Raw genomic sequence first — 16,864 nt, 5'->3', positions numbered from 1 at the left:
TTGATTTGAAGGGATTGCTTTATTTAACGTGAAAAGCGTGATAGAGGAACTGTTTAAGATAAACAACTTATAAATACTCCCAATTGTAGAAGTGAAAGATTGATTCTATGAAAATCTACAAGTGATTAAATTTAGACATGAATATCAAAGACTTTATAGAGTCATAGCATCTTATCAAAGATCATTTAGCAGAAGTTATGCTTAGTCTGTAGGTTAGAAGCAATGATTAGTGAGACAGATTGGTTTGTGGGATGACTCAGGATAGGATGATTATCAGTAAAAACCTTCCCAGGTAAAAATTACAAGAAAAAGAATAGAGGATAGTTGCAAAAGATTTATGGAATTAGTTTAACCACTAAGCATAAAATAGTACTGCTCTGGGTTGTGAAAAAGTATAGTAAAATGTTGCTAAAGTTATATTTCAAAGTGTAGCTCCCAGAGATGAAACCAGTTAAAGCAATTCTACAAACAAAGCTAAAAACATTTTAACAATAATGATGGGGTGTATTGGGCAAGAACTGTGACAGATCATCGAATTCCGACAGCAAAGCACATTAAAAATATTGATTTAGCTGTCTCTCTTGATAGAAGTATGACAGAAAGTTAGGCAGAGCTGTGAAGGTCACTCTGAAGGTCTGGGACCTCAGAGAGGCAGCAAGGAGCAAAGTCCATCGAAAGACAGTCAGTGTAGCACTGGGGTTGGTGGGAATGCTAACCGGTCATGTTCTGTAGCAGATTTCTCAATCAGGCAAACAGTAGGAGGAACGTTATATCCAAAAGACAAATCGATTAGGAAGTTTGGCCAGTGAACATATTATTAGGATTGGGAGGTCAATGATCAAGGCAGAAGCTCTTAGTCAGTTCACTTTGCAGCTCTCATCATAGGATTGTACAAAAGAGAAGAAAAGATCTTCCTTAACTGACTCAGGGCCAGGTACTTTGAAGATCCAAGTAGTCTGCTACTCCAGCTTCTGCTGGAATCTTGGCTGTTTGGAGGCAATTTGTTCTGTGCCTTTTGGAGAAATCCCCTGTGTTCCAAAGAACACCTGGGAATAATATCTCAACTGTAGTTCAACTTTTCCATTTTCACAAGAGAAGGGACTTGAGAGCTGGACGGTAAGAGAGTCGTTGAGTCCATCTGAAGGATGGCAGACAGAAGGGAAAGAGGAAGGACAGCATCATTTTCAAGCATCTACTATGAACTAGGCACTCTGCATATGTTACTTCATTATTTTCACATCTCCTCAATGTAATTATTATTGATTTCACTTAACATCTGGGGAAACAGGGAGCATAAGTTTCACGCTCACACTCATCCAGTCTCTGACTGAACTAGTGAACTACTGAACTACTGAATTCATGAATGTGAATGCTGAAATGTGAACGCACGTCTGTCTGGCTGCCTGGCCCCAAGTCCTTACTCCTTTCAACTTACCTGGTTGCTCCAGGCAGGCTCTCCAAGAAGACAGAGCAGCAGGAAGAAAAATATGGCATATAAATATGTTTTTCCACTTTCAAGGACCACCAAGACATTTCTTAAATTTATTGGAGTTATAAAAACAAAACTAAATACCCTTCATTAATGAATGATACTATCTCTAAGGTGGAAGGTCACATTACCTATCGCAGTCTTCCTTAAAGTGTCAAATTCGGAATGTAGGAAATGTCCTGTATTAGGTCCCTTTGAGACTTTACACAATTTACCCCAAACTCGCTGTAAAAAATGGTCTCTTTATACGTAGAGTTAAAGTTTCGCCAACTACAGGTTGCCCAGGAGAGGCAAGCAGCCCTCCTGGCCCCTAGTTTCAGCTATGACTAGTTTCTTTTTCACCACAGTCCAATTAGAAATGAGGTCATAGTTGTAAGTCTTCTCTTCCCTGAGGGTTTTTTTGTTTTGTTTTTGTTTTTTATGCAGGCCATTATAGTAACGAGTCACATGGTCTTCCCTTAGGTGATGGTCAGTGGTTAAAAACAGCCAGTAGATCTTCAAAGGAATTATTACAAGTTTAAAAAAAAATCATTTAAAGATCATATGCTACCATTTTGAGGTTCCCTAGTAAATTATTTGATCAATTTACCTTCTATTTCCTCCAAAACTGTGTACTCACATTTTTCAGAGCTTAAAATAGTCACTTTTTTATCCCTTAATCACAAACCACTCAGAAGAGGCTATAAGAAGAAAATACCATCAAGCAATGCTGCCTTAAAGAATTCTGTTTACTCTAAATTTAGTAGATTTCTTTTGCAAACCTAGGCCTAATCTCAGATTAAACAAAACAAATGGTAGCTAAATAGATGTCCTCTTCAAATCTGTTTGCTTTACCACAGACAAACAAGCCAAGGCCTTCCTAATTTGCAGTTCAGAAAGCTCTCTTCCCAATCTAGAAGAGGGAAAAAGAAGACCAAGCACCAATCTAAACAGACATTCCGTAATTATAGGATTTTAGGTTTGGAGTCACTTCACTTAATCTTTGCATGACCCAGAATTCAACTCAGAAGATTAAAAGAACAGCATTTTCAGTTCTATTCATGAAAATTAAGGACTTGACTGGAGTTAATAAAGCTGAGAAAAAAGTATAAGCTGTTAGTCAAAGTAACATAATCCTTACTGCAATGAAAAGTGGAAAAAAATGTAATTGTATGTTATTTCCACTACAATAAGTAATACATTTGTTTACATATTTGGAAAAGAGGACATAATATTCCGAAGGTGAATTATTCTATGTGAGAGAACCATATTAAGATTCCACTGTGGAGCAACCCCAGAAGCTTATCAGATCTAAATAAAAGATTGATGATGATTCTGAGTTTAAAATTTAATGTCTAAGCTACCTGCTAAATTTTACATTACAAGAATGTTGACTGTACTGTAAATCAATAAAATTAATTATGCTCTCTTATAGAATGGATGTTATAAGATAAAAATTATTTACATATTACTGTGCCTTTTCAGGGTGTGTTGTTTACTTCTTTAACTATCATTTGTCAAAATTTTCATTTTGAAGGATTTAATGGATAATATTTAATACACGGTATATTAAAAATGCTATTCTGCTAAAATACCTTTTTTCTATAAATTACACAAAGACATGACCATTTCTACCTATAAACATGGATTTACAAAAACAAAACAAGCTAATAATCTGATATACCCAAATTTAAGGAAATAATTTCCAACTTTTAATTATATTGAAACTGATCCTTTTTCTGTTGAAAGGAAATTCAAGGCAGCTATTATGTGTATGAATAAATGATCAATACAATAATCATAGTTATGAGATCTGTAAGTAAATTGTTAGAGTCTGTTTATCCAATACCTTAGTTACTGTGTAAGTCTTTTCCCAAAGCGAGGCTACCAATTCACAGGGGCTTTATCTTTGTCTAAGCCCATCTCTCAAGTGAATTAAAGGCTTGCGAGAGAAGGCAAATGACCTTTTATGGGTTTGGAATATACTGCGAGGTTAAGACTGAGAAATGCCACTCCAAGGCAAGAGTTGGCAGTGTGTGTTTTCCCCTGCACTCTGTCACCAGTGTTCCCATTAATCTCATTCCGCAGCCTCCAGCAGGGGAAAAAGCCCATCTTACTAAATAATGCAAATGTAAATATTGTACACCTATGTATCTAAATTATGTTTTCATGAAATTATGAGATCATTTAGGCAGTTCAGACACTTAGAGTTTTGCTCCTTTTGCCCAGGCTGGAGTGCAATGGCGCAGTCTCGGCTCACTGCAACCTCTGCCTCCTGGGTTCAAGCGATTCTCCTGCCTAGGCCTCCCGAGTAGCTGGCATTACAGGTGCCCACCACCACACTCGGCTAGTTTTGTATTTTTAGTAGAGACGGGGTTTCACCATATTGGACAGGCTGGTCTTAGTGATCCTTACCTCAGGTGATCCACTGGCCTCGGCCTTCCAAAGTGCCGGGATTACAGGCGTGAGCCACCACGCTTGGCCAATACTTTGTTTTCTTAATATGAATGGGGATATACTCGAATCATTCAGGAAAACCCCCTGTATCTTATTCCTAAGTCTATTGGATTAATGTCATATGTACATCAGGTTAGCTAGAAAAAAGGACATTTTAAAGGGCATTAATCATTTATATTCAAGGGTAAGATATTAAGAGCAATATAAATTATAGTTAATTTCTGAAATCAAGAATTTACTCAGAAAATATTTTCTAGTTTTTCATCAGCTAACAATTATGATTATTTTGTTCAAAATTTTTTCTAGTTTCAAATTTAAGCTCCCCCCATTGCCCCCGGGTCACTTACATCATTCTCTTCTTTATAGAATCTTATATTTGGAAAAACACAAAATATATTCAATACTCATTTAAAATTTTGAGGGATTTAAACAATTACAAAAGATACAAGCACTTGCAGGTCAAACATTGCATAGGTGACAAAGAAAAAGATTTTTTTCTTTTTTTTTGAGACGGAGTTTCACTCTTGTTGCCCAGGCTAGAGTGCAATGGCGCGATCTCAGCTCACTGCAACCTCCGCCTCCCAGGTTCAAGCGATTCTCCTGCCTCAGCCTCCCAAGTAGCTGGGATTACAGGCGCCTGCCACCGCACCCAGCTAATTTTTGTATGTTTTAATAGAGACGGGGTTTCTCCATGTTGGTCAGGCTGGTCTCGAACTCCCGACCTCAGGTGATCCGCCCACCTCCACCTTCCAAAATGCTGGGATTACAGGTGTGAGCCACCGTGCCCTGCCAGAAAAAGATATTAATGTCTCCTTCATTCCTTCCAACTCATCCTCCGCAGAAATCTAATGTTAACATTTCAGTGTACATCCTCCACCCCAAACAAATATTTACACACGCATTTATCCAAGCATAATGGATAATTGTAAAAGTTCTTTTTTATAAAGTCAGAATAAAAATCAGAATAAAAATAAAAATTCACATTATTCTATGTATTAATCAGGACTATTTTGGTTGTAAGTAATGGAAACAGAAAATAGTTTAAGTAAAAAAAGTAAGTATTATTGGTTTGTGTAACTGAGAAGGCTTCAAGAATAGCTGGATCTAGGGACTTAAATCAGCAGTTAGCCTTGGTTTGTCTTAGCTCTGTTTTTCTCTACGTTGGTTCATTCTTGGGCAAAACTTTTCTTGTAGTGGCAGGATGGGTGTTTTCGATATTGGACTTATATACAAAATACAAAATACTATGTTTAACAATTTTAGAGAAATATCAAACAACCTTGAAAATACAGGCAGGAAATGAGAAATTATCTTAAAATGTCAAAGAGATTTAAAGAACCAATTAAATGAAGAATTAAATAAGAATGAAAAATAAGAATGATGAAATTTAAAAATCAATAGAAGATTTCCATTTCTGACAATATGGCAACCAAGATATTTTGGACCATTCTCCCACTGAAAATAACAAAAAATGTGGCTAAATCAGAAAAAAAAACAACAATGGCTGGACGCAGTGGCTCACACCCATAATCCCAGCACTTTGGGAGGCCGAGGCAGGTGGATCACCTGAGGTCAGGAGTTTGAGACCAGCCTGGCCAACGTGATGAAACCCTGTCTCTACTAAAAATACAAAAATTAGCCTGGCATGGTTGTGGGCACCTGTAATCCCAGCTACTCGGGAGGCTGAGGCAAGAGAATCACTTGAACCCGGGAGGCGGAGGCTGCAGTGAGCTGAGATTGTGACACTGGCCTCCAGCCTGGGTGACAGAGCGAGACTCCATCTCAAAAAAAAAAGAAAAGAAAACAACAATATCAAAAATAAAAACAAAACTAGAGGCATCAAAGAGCTAACAAGATAGTAAGAAATAACCAAGCCAAAATCTGAGAGCAAGTAGAAACACAGAAATAAGCATAGTGATAAAGCCAGTATTATTTACTCAAGAGAATTTCTAAATGTACTCTTACCTTGTGTGGTGATTCTGCCTCATATCCTCCTGTCTTGATGACCCTATGAACAAAGCCGCAACCCCAAATGATTGTTCCTGTGCCCTGGGGATACTCAGCAAGTAAACTAGTCTGGACAAGGGCCAATTGGGAGCACACCTTCCTGAGCATCTCAGAATCAGATATGGTCCTTGCCAGTCTAGAACACAGACGGCTGGATTCGCACAAGGGTGGGTTTGTGAATCCTTAGGTGACAATGTTGAAGTAGGATTGGGTGGGGTATGGAGAGCACACAACAATTAGAAAGGGTAAGGCAATCCGTCATTCTTCCTACCTGCCTTATCCACAACAAAGAGGGAGATGGAGCAGGCATGATGCTCACCCTCAGCTCCCGGAGAAGCCAGGCTACTAAGCTTAGGTCAGCCCTGCAGTCGTCTCTGTTACTGAAGTCACCACATGCCTATTTCCTGCTACCACCTCCTTGCCAGTGGATGCACTGAGCTAAGTTCAACTTGCACACACCCTGCCCCAACAATCTTTAATCACTCAGTGCACTGAAAACACTTATTGCCCATACTCTTACATCAGTTAGGGCAGTTGTCCCAATCTTTCTGGCACCAGGGACTGGTTTCGTGGAAGACAATTTTTCCATGGACAGGATAAGGGTGGGGGATGGTTTGGGGATGATTCAAGCACATCACGTTTATTGTGCACTTTACTCTTATTATTATTACATCGTAATATATAATGAAATAGTTATACAACTCACCATAATGTAGAATCAGTGGGAACCCTGAACTTGTTTTCCTGCAACTAGACAGTCCCATCTGTGGGTGATGGGAGACAGTGACAGATCATCAGGCATTGATTCTCATAAGGAGCACACAACCTAGATCCTTCACAAGCACAGTTCACAATAGGGTTCCCACTCCTATGAGAATGTAATGCCACTGCTGATCTGAAGGAAGCAGAGCTCAGGCGGTGATGCGAGTGATGGGAAGCGGCTGTAAATACAGATGAAGCCTCCCCTGCTAGCCAGCCCACTGCTGACCTCCTGCTGTGTGGCCTGGGAGTTGAGGACCCCTGAGTTAGGGAGCTTCTGTCTTCAAGTTACAGAAAGTTCAGCTCAAATGGACTTAGACAATAAAAGCGGACATTGTGGCTAATAGTTCTACTGAGGGTTCTCAGTTTACACACTAAAAGTTGATTCTGACTGATTTAGGAAATAACAAATTTGTTGAAAGGATATTAGGTAGCCCAAAGTCTCGATAGGAAGAACCACTTCCAAAATTAGGTCCTAGTACCAGTCTGGTAAAGGCGGTGCTGCTGGTGGACCTACATTCTGTCTTTGGAGGCAGGATACCAACTGCTACTCCTGAAACTGTTGCCACAGGCACTACTGCTGCCACTACAGCTGCCCCGACCACTGAATTCTCCACTGCCTTGGTGACTTCATTTCTCCAACTTGGGATTCACAGGTCGGTCTGATGGCCAAATAGAGAAGGAATGCCCGTGCCTTAGCTGTGAAGCTGCCTGGGGCTGTGACTATATGGTCCTAGCTGTTTCTACACTGGAAGGCATCTCTGCCCCTCAGTGGTATGCATGTGGTGGGATATCCCCAAACCTAGGAAGGTGTTCAGATAAGGTCCTTGCTCATGTGGCATTTACAGTCTTACAGTGAGGGAGACAGACAATAAGCAAGTAAACCAATTAAAAAGATGATAATTTCAGGTAGTGATTAGCATTATGAAGACTATAAGGAACTCCACAAATTCCAACCCTGATGTTGCCTCAGAAGCAGGAGAGGAGTGTACTGATCTGCAAGTCGACGTAAATCTAGGTAAAAACCATAAGAAACCACTGGGCAGAGAGAAAGGGTGGCTGTGACCTGCTGTGGGTAAACCATAGGCTGAGCAGAGAAAGTCACTGTTAGGACATGGTGCAGGCAGAGTTGCAGGCTGTTTCCTCTCTCTAACCACTGTCCTTGGCAGATAATCGCCTGGCCTGGAACCACCTTGAGACAAAATATCTGCTACACGGAGGTGATGGGATAATATCAGGGCAGTGCCACAGCCTGGCCAGGGTGAGGAACAGATAATAATGGGAGCATCTGGACCCTGAGCAATTCTACCCCCTGTCAAAAGGAGGTTACTTACAAAGGAGTTGTTTATGGAATTTGGGAGCTGACTGTATCCAGAGCAGGGATGAATGCACACTACGGGATACCAAGGATCAGTTAGAAGCAATGAACCAAGTGTACCTACATATATAACAGATACAGATGGGTCTTTAGAACACACTGGTGAATACAAAACATAATAACTAGAGCAAGGTCTATTGCACAATACTATTTGTGAAACATATGATATACCAAATAATAACTTACATTTGACAATATTACATTTTTAGACAAGGATATATATGTAATGCCTTATAGTGAATGAATATGTGAAAGGAGAGGTAACGGAAATGGAAACCAGGGATGAATGGGGAAAATATCCACGAAAGAAATGTAATAATATTATACCATGAACTGAAGTATGTGATTGACTCGATACTTTTCACATGAGGCATAAAAATTAAAGAAACGATGGAGGAGTAGGAGGGAATTTATTAGCTGGTGTTTGGGCTGCAGGTGGAGTGATCAACATTAAATAAGGTGGTCAGAGAAGGCTTCTCTGAAGAGGTGACATCTAGGCTAAAGTCTGAGCAATGTGGCCAGTCATGTGATGGTTGGGGGATGCGCCCTCCAGGCAGAAGAAATAGCTTATGCTAAGACCCTGTAACAGAAACATGACACCATTGAGGAACAAGGAAAAAGACAGGTGTGGTTGGAGCACAGAGAGCACATCGAAGTTGAGGTTTAGTTTTAAAAGATGATCTGGCAAAGCCTTTCCTCATTGCTAAGTCTATACATACAGTTTGGAGTAATCAGTTTCACAGAATTGGTCATTGCTAGGGAGAAGTGAAGTCCTCTCTGGTATTAGGATGACCTGGCTTGACAGGGAAGTGAACTGTGAGCACCAGGCAATCAGACAGTGGCAGAACCAAATTTGCTCTTACAGGTGCGGAAGGAGCCGATTGTCACCACTGGGAAGACAGAAATTTTACTAGGTACAGGCCTGCCATGCTGAGTCCCCCATGCTAAAGGCTGGACAGCCCTTGTGAAGGACTGGCTTGGCAGGGCTTTTGACACTAGCTGTCTTCACTGTGGTCCTGCTTACAGCTTGTGCCCTCAACATTTCCTGGGCAACAGCTCCTAACTAGGACCACTTTCCACATCTATGCCCTCTGGTGCTTCGACTCTGGTCTCCTTCTGTCCTGTTTCCATACCTTGCCAGAAACTCGACATTTTTTGGTTTCCTCCAAAAGAGCACTTTGTGTATCAAAAATACAAACCTTAGGTTTTCACTCCGTCCTGGGGTGTTGACCTCTTATCTGCATGACAAGTGCTGAATTGCTCCTTTTGCAAAAGAAAACAAAAAAAGAACAATAATAAGCTGTTTTTCATGAACAGAAAATCCTTGAGGACAGGGACCTACTCTACCTTGACTCGCATCTAACCTTGTGCCTAGAAAAATTGTTGGGCCCAAGGTAGGTGCTCCATAAAATGGGTTGAATGAGTTCACACACACACACACACAAACACACACACACACACCACATTCTTAAAATGATGAAAAAATCACATCCTGTTTTCTGTTGCAAAAGTTCCAACTAGAATTGATCTTTCCCAAGATAACTAGCATTAATACAGCTTTGCTCAACACCAATTATTGCTCACAAAGAATTAGTTTTCCTCACTGGCACTATTATGGGTCATAATAATAATGTTTATTGAGCACTGGGGATCAGATACTAAATTATCTCATTTAAAACCTATAATAACCCTATGACTTATGTACTATCCCATCTTTATCTAAAAGAGGAGAAAAACTGAAGCCTAAAGAGACTTGGTAACTTCTACGTGATGGCTAGAGCTGGGCTTTTCATCCCAGGTCAGCCTGACTCCAGATCTCTTAACCGAACTTCTGAAACTCAAGCCAATTTTCTATAATGAAATACATTAAAGTTATATCTGAAACAACTACTACTCTTCTGAATATTACTTTTCTTTTGTAGACTAATCATTGGCATCCATATATTTAAGTATTTCTTAGGGAGCTCAATTTTTTCACAATATTGTACATTTAAAATATAATGTGTACAAGACAGCTTGCAAATAAGCAGCAGAGAAAGAATGGAAGTGAAATCTATTCTTTGCACTGAGTCTGTGTTTGCTTTAATTCTAGTTTCCGGTTTTGAAAGTACTTTTTTGTCTATTTTTTCTTCTTTTTCTTTGTACTGATAGTTTAATTACTTATTTTGTGATCATAAAACAATGAGCATTGTGACAATTTTACTGCAGTAAATATTCTTTGTCTGAGTCTAGGTTTCCTAGAAATTATAGTCTGAGGCAAAATTTACATTCTAAAGCTTCACTAGAGGGATGCAAACCCAAGGGAGCAGGAGTGAACAGGGGCAGGCCAATGAGACAGGAAGGCAGGAAAGTAAAGAGAAGATGTCTTATTATTGAGCTGGCCTTGCTTCATAGAAAGCACTATTGGTTGCTCTGTCACCTGGAAGTTTCCAGAGAGGCCCACATGGAAACATTTCTCAGAGGAATCCTTTGGGAGAGAAGAAGAGCAAGAATTTATCCATGGGTTATTGCCTATCATCTGCCTCTCAGTAGTTAAAATTTGCCTCACTGGGGCTGGGCGTGGTGGCTCACACCTGTAATCCCAGCACTTTGGGAGGCCGAGGTGGGCAGATCACTTGAGGCCAGGAGTTGGAGACCAGCCTGGCCAACACAGCGAAACCCCATCTCTACTAAAAATACAAAAATTAGCTGGGCGTGATGGTGGCGCCTGTAATCCCAGCTACTTGGGATGCTGAGGCACAAGAATCTGAACCTGGGAGGCAGAGGTTGCAGTGAGCCGAGATCCTGCCTCTGCACTCCAGCCTAGGTGACAGAGTGAGATTCTGTCTCAAAAAAACAAAAACAAAAACAAATTTTTTTTTTGTTTCACTGGGTATTAGCTTCTAGCATTGTTACCTGGCCCTTTGTATGAGTCTCAAAACACAAGGTGAGTCAGTGAGCATGCACAAGCCAGGGACATTTCCTTTCTGCCTGCAGCCTGACGTCTCGAGGCCCTATCAAGCCAGCGTGCCCCCAGTGGTCCTGTTGTGTCTTGCACCTGGTGACAAGGAGGGCCCAGGGTAGGAGGGAAGAAGCCAGCGGTGTAAGGCATGAGGTAGTGTGATCCTGAGCTGTGCCTTGGAAGACCTGGACACCTGGAGCAGCGGGCAATAGGCCCAGCTGGCTAAGCAGAAGGAACACGACAACAGCATGGTTTCTGCAGTGAGAAAGTTCCAAGAGCTTCTCCACAACAAAGACCAAAACCACCTCTCTGCACTCAAAAGAAGGTGATCTTTTTGGAGGGTCATTAGTAGCATTGAGCAGAAAACCATAGCTGAGGATCAATAACCTCAAACTGTCAGAACATTTTCATAACATGTCTCCTGGTGCACATGCAGGAGATTTTTCTTTGGTGAATATCTGTAAGTACAATCTCTATCAGTGAACACTTCTAAATAGTAGCTTTAAATGGTTGCTTGTCACTAAGTTTGGTTCTTTTCTTATAAATATGTCTAGAACTCATCTATTGATCCATACATTCATCCTGGGGGAAAGTACCATTGAGTATCCCTATCACAATTGCCTCATTGTTGAACTGGTAATAGACATCTCAGCAAACTCACAGGGAAACTAAAAGAAGAATTAAACGCTTTGAGGTATTTTAAACTTGGAGAGGCTATTTAAATCCATGTTACTTTTAAACCCAAAATTTCCCATTGTTTCCAGGAGAGGGCACAAATTCATCTTACGGTTATTCTTAGTGCTTTTCATCACCTTTCTTGACTTTACCCCACGTGTACACATGCACACACCCTCACATAAACATGCACACCCTACCTCTTATTTTATAAAATGACTGGTTATCTATTAACCAGCTTATGCAGCCATTTCAGAACCTATGCAAAGCAGCTTTGAACAGACTCTTCACTCTGCTGCAAGATCCAGAATGTCAACTGGGGCTTCATGAGGTTCCCATGTAGAGCTGGGCCTGCTAGTGTTAAATACATATGGCTTTAATTTACAGTCCAGTCCCTATATCGTTGTTTCCAATTGCCAATGGCATTGGTAAACCAACAGTAGTAATAGGAGTAGTCTCAGGCAATAAGGAGACACATTTTCTATAGAGAATTTTAAAACAATAATTAAATGGACTAAAAGCTGATTTGCTTTTACTATATTCACACATTGGCAATTCTACACAATGGTCAAATGCTCTCCCCGTCCCCGCTAAATCTTTTGTTGGTCTGCAGTCGAAAAAATTTCTGTGGTTATTATTCAATTTTGTAATACATAAAATCAGCAATGTTATTGCTTATCTCTTAAGAAACACATTTTCTCCTTTAGTAATAACTCCTGTGTGGGAGTTAACTCAGAGAAGACTTGACATAAATGGACTTATCTACACACTCTTGTTTGAGAGTTAAGTTCCAGATGGTTCAGAATCATTCATATTTGTGCTTGCTTTGGGTACACTTCATGCTCCAACCCATGTGGGACTATCTGCTTCTGCATTTAAACACTAGATCTGGAATAAGCAATGGCAGTAGAGTGATTGTGACAGAACTTGGGCTACCTCAATTCTCTCTCATTCAATTTAGTGCTCTCATGAAAACTCACTTGGAGTTTTTATTTATAATTAAAATTTAAAATAATAATGCAGCGTAAACCACAAGGTGTAATTTTTTTTGGTAACTGCAAGTTTATTTCACATGTGCAATATTTCACACCTTTGAATAATATCTTTAAAAATTGAAATTGATGTCTTTTTTATTGTTCTTTTTCTTATGTAATTACTATTGCACTGTAATGTTATTCATTTTTATGGCAGTCTAGTATGTAGGTATGTGTATTTTCTTTTTTGTTTGAAAAACATTAATGTAATTAAAAGTATTAGTCCACTACTTTCCCCTTTTTTGATACTATAAAATGTATTTTATTATTTTATTTTTCATTTTTATTGGAATGATTACATATACGAAGTTCAATAAAATAAAAATCTCTCTCAGTCCATTTTTCTTTTTATTCATTTCATTATTATTACCAAAAATAATGCTGTATGGAGTAGTGGGGTGTTAAAAAATGATCTGCTCGACAACACCAGTCACACAAGGCACGCCCTGCTTCCTTGCAGATCCTCAGGAGAGCTGCCCTGTCTGAGAACACTGCCCTCTGCTGCTCGGTGTGAATTCACCCATGAGGCTTATAAACAGAGAATTAACCCTCACTCTACCTTAAACTTACTCTTTTATTCAGAGAGGTATATCTAACTACAGTGTCAACTTTGTCTTGGTTCACACAGATCCCCAGGAACAGAGTGAGCAATCAACACATTTTTGTTGAATGAAAGAAGGAATGTGATGTTACTTTGCACATATTGGAGAGTGCATGCAAATGTGTTAATATGTCTGAGTATTGTGTGCAAGTGTGGGTGTTCACAGCACAAAATAGGCTGGTCAAGAGTGAACATCATATATTTTACTTTTCTTGCACCCACCCACCCCCCGCCCCCCACCACTTCCCAGCCGTGCCAGAGACACTACAGATGCAGACTAACAAATTGACTTAGAAGGTCAGGACTCAAAAGCCTATTCCAAAAATATTAAGAATGGCCAAGAAGTTAAAATCCAATCAAATAAAATCCCATTTTTTAATTCTTTTGTTAGCACACTAGTTTTTTGTGTGGTGGAGGAGAGGTTACTCATTAGAAAATAAAATTCTAAACTTATAACAAGATACTATAACTGATACTAATCTTTGCCAACTGTTAATAATTTCTTTCTCATTCTTGTAACTGATGCCCGAAATGCATCTAATATATAATTCCGAAACATTTTAATTACCATTATATTTAAAGTAAGAAAGGAGGGGGAAATGTAGCTTTTAAAGACTCTGAGCAGCTCACCTAAGATGGCCTTTCAAAGATAAGTGATATAAAACATTAAAGAGCCTAAAGCTTACATAGTCCAGCCTTGGTGTGTAAATAAAGGAGGCAGAGCCCAGAGAGTATAGGCTTGTTCAGAGTCTCACAGTGTGAGGGTATAGCCAGGACCAGAAGCCTGCAATCCCTACTTCCACCCCAGTCTCTCATCCTACACAGCACAGCTTCCAATGTAGAAGAAAATGGCTCTATCTTTGTTTGTTATATCAGATTGTTTAAAGTATTTAAGATATGTGCTTTAGATATCATTACACTGGCAGATAACAATATACAGAGTAATAAGAATTTGAAGATAACTTTGAGAATCACTTATTATAACACATACATTAACAAGAGAGAATGAATATTTACTAAGTATCTACCACATCCATGGCACATGGCTATTCCCTATAGAGACTACTGAATGAATAAATGATAGCATGAACTTATGTAACACTCGCCATAAGCCAGGTTGGTCTAAGTGCTTTACATTCATTAAGACGTTTAATCTTCACAACAACTCTGTGAATATCTGTTATTATCACCATCCCCAGTTTACAGATAAGGAAATTGAGGCACAGAGAACTTCACCAAGATCAGGCAGCCAGCAAACAGAACTTTACAACTTTGGTCATCTGACTCCATGGGCTATGCAAACTATGATCTACCTCCCATCTTAAGGAACAGAAACATAGGAAAAGGTGAATGGTAATGCGGATTTAAATAACAGTTAATGACAACTATAATGGACAAAAGGCAATATCCAAGAGGCAAGTGAATAGTATAAGTCAGAACTCTTTGCGTGCAAGCACCAGAAACTAAATTTAAAATCTCTTAAGTTATCTCAAAAGCTATTTATTTGCTGGCAATAGTAGAAGGCATTGTGGGCTGAATTTTGTCCCCCCACAATTCATGTGTTGAAGTCCTAACTCCCAGAACCTCCAAATATAACCATATTTGGCATAGGGCCTTTAAAGAGGTAATCAGGGTAAATTGAGGTCATTCGGATGGATCCCAATCTAATCTAACTGGTGTCCCTGTAAGAAAGTGAGATTAGGACAAAGACACACACAGAGGGAAGGCCAAGTGAAGGCACAGAGAGGAGGCCTATATGCAAGCAAGAAGAGAGTTTCCAGAGTGAAACCAACCTCCATGACACCTGGATCTCAGATTTCTAGTCTCCAAAGTCACAAGGAATTAAATTCCCATTTTTAGCCACCCAGTCTGTAATACTTTGTTAATGCAGCCTGAGCAGAATAAAATAGAAGAATACTGGGTGTTTCATAGAATTAAAGAGTTACAGGAAACAGTCGGAGCCAGGAATCTCAAGGACTAGAACAAGGACCTCAACACCTGCAGAATACACACACTATCCTCCCCACACTTCCAGCTTCAGAATTTAAAAATGCCAAGGATGGCCTCAACTGATCCAGTTGAGGTCGCATTCCCAACCCTAAGCCAATCATTTAATTCTCCTAGTTCAGTGATGCATCTCTACCATCCTTCGCCGGTCTGTGTCCCCAGATCCTCCTGTGGTTGAGTTTCCCAAGAGAGTAAACCTGGTTTCTGCCAGGACAAGAGAGAGGCTGCTGAAAGATGAGGAAGGAATCCAGAGGTCTGACTGCTTTCTCCAAGGACTTTCCATAAACCTCCTGTTTTCAGCTCCGCCTCTTACCTTTTCTTTCAGAAGAATCTGGTGCCTCCAATTCTGGGGACTTTACGGGTGCTGTGCCATGAACTAGCTTCCTTCTTAAGCTCCCCATCTGCTGGTACTGCAGTTTCAGCCCCTGTCCATGTCCATCTCCAAAAATGAGATGACATGGACTTTTCACCTATTCTTTCTGTCTTGTGGACTTGGGCCTTTTTGGCTTCTTTGCTGTCATTTTAGTAGCATTTTGAAAGAGATGAAAGAAAAACACAGGTTTTTAAACTGCAATGTTTAACCAGAAGTCTATTTTGGGAATTTTCAAATAATCCTCTGTGAAGGTGCCACAGTGGCTTACTTCTGGCTTGGGAAGGTGGCAGTAGCACAGAGGACAGACAGGAGAGCAGACTAGGAAAAGGGTAGGCAGGCTCTGGCCTCTGCCCCCGCATCAAGCAGAAAATCTTGCTTTTTATGTTTTATACATTGTCCTTCTAAGATTTCATTTGAAGAAAGAGACTTTAACTAAAAATAGAAAATCTTAAAACCACTGTGCAATACCAGCCTGCCTCCTACATATTTTAAAGAGTTTAAATTATGGTGTACATACATGTATTCTGGTTTTTTTTCATTAGATTGTGTTACAAACATGTTTCCATATTTATGTGGCTTTTTCATCATCAGTTTCTTAACCTAGTGCCTGGCACATGATAGGCTTTTAGTAAATAGTGATTGATTGAATGAATGAATTATATTTAACAGCTGCTTCTAATTTATTTGTAATTACAGAGAATAAGCTCTTCCATTCATTCATTTATTCACCCAACACATATTTATTCAATACCTATTATATGTCAGGCATTGATGGATGGTGCTGAGAATACAGGAATGAGTAAGGCAAACCGTCCTTTCCACACAGAGCCAACAGTCTAACGGGGGAATCTGACAAGTGAATTGACAATCACAATATGTATAAAAGCTATGGGAAACAAAAAGCATCTACAGGAGCACATCATAGGGGTCCCTAATGCAGACCTGAAAGTTGGGGAAGTCTCCCTGGAGGAAAAGACTTAAAGTGAATCCTAAAAAACTAACAAAACAGTTTCTGGTTCAGCATGTAAGAAATTTGGAAGTTGCCACTCTGTCCTAATGAGTAAAAAGCTGAACAAACTGAAAAACCAAATTAGCCAGGCATGGTGGTGCACACCTGTGGTCCCAGCTACTCGGGAGGCTGAGGCATGAGAATTGCTTGAGCCT

General features: G+C 39.9%; 1 long non-coding RNA gene across 1 annotated transcript, besides 1 other annotated feature; it reads right to left on the bottom strand.

Annotated features, from left to right (window-relative positions):
• Positions 1 to 15,862, bottom strand: HLMR1 (hepatic lncRNA metabolic regulator 1). The gene is made up of 5 exons (NR_038455.1): positions 15,641 to 15,862; positions 9,269 to 9,332; positions 5,891 to 6,114; positions 3,884 to 4,062; positions 1 to 1,138 (listed from the first exon to the last, which is right to left on the bottom strand). It is a non-coding gene; the product is annotated as a hepatic lncRNA metabolic regulator 1 (long non-coding RNA).
• Positions 13,076 to 13,370: an enhancer, noted in NCBI's record as "tiled region #3462; K562 Activating DNase unmatched - State 12:CtcfO". NCBI's record gives its function as "activates a minimal TATA promoter and a strong SV40 promoter by Sharpr-MPRA in K562 cells {active_cell/tissue: K562}" and the evidence as "EXISTENCE:reporter gene assay evidence [ECO:0000049][PMID:27701403]".
• Positions 15,863 to 16,864: the final 1,002 nt, after the last annotated feature.

Source organism: Homo sapiens, chromosome 3 (assembly GCF_000001405.40).
Source record: "Homo sapiens chromosome 3, GRCh38.p14 Primary Assembly".
NCBI lineage: Eukaryota > Metazoa > Chordata > Mammalia > Primates > Hominidae > Homo > Homo sapiens.
The sequence above is the reverse complement of the archived record's forward strand: the minus strand, read 5'-3'. Positions and strand labels throughout refer to the sequence as shown.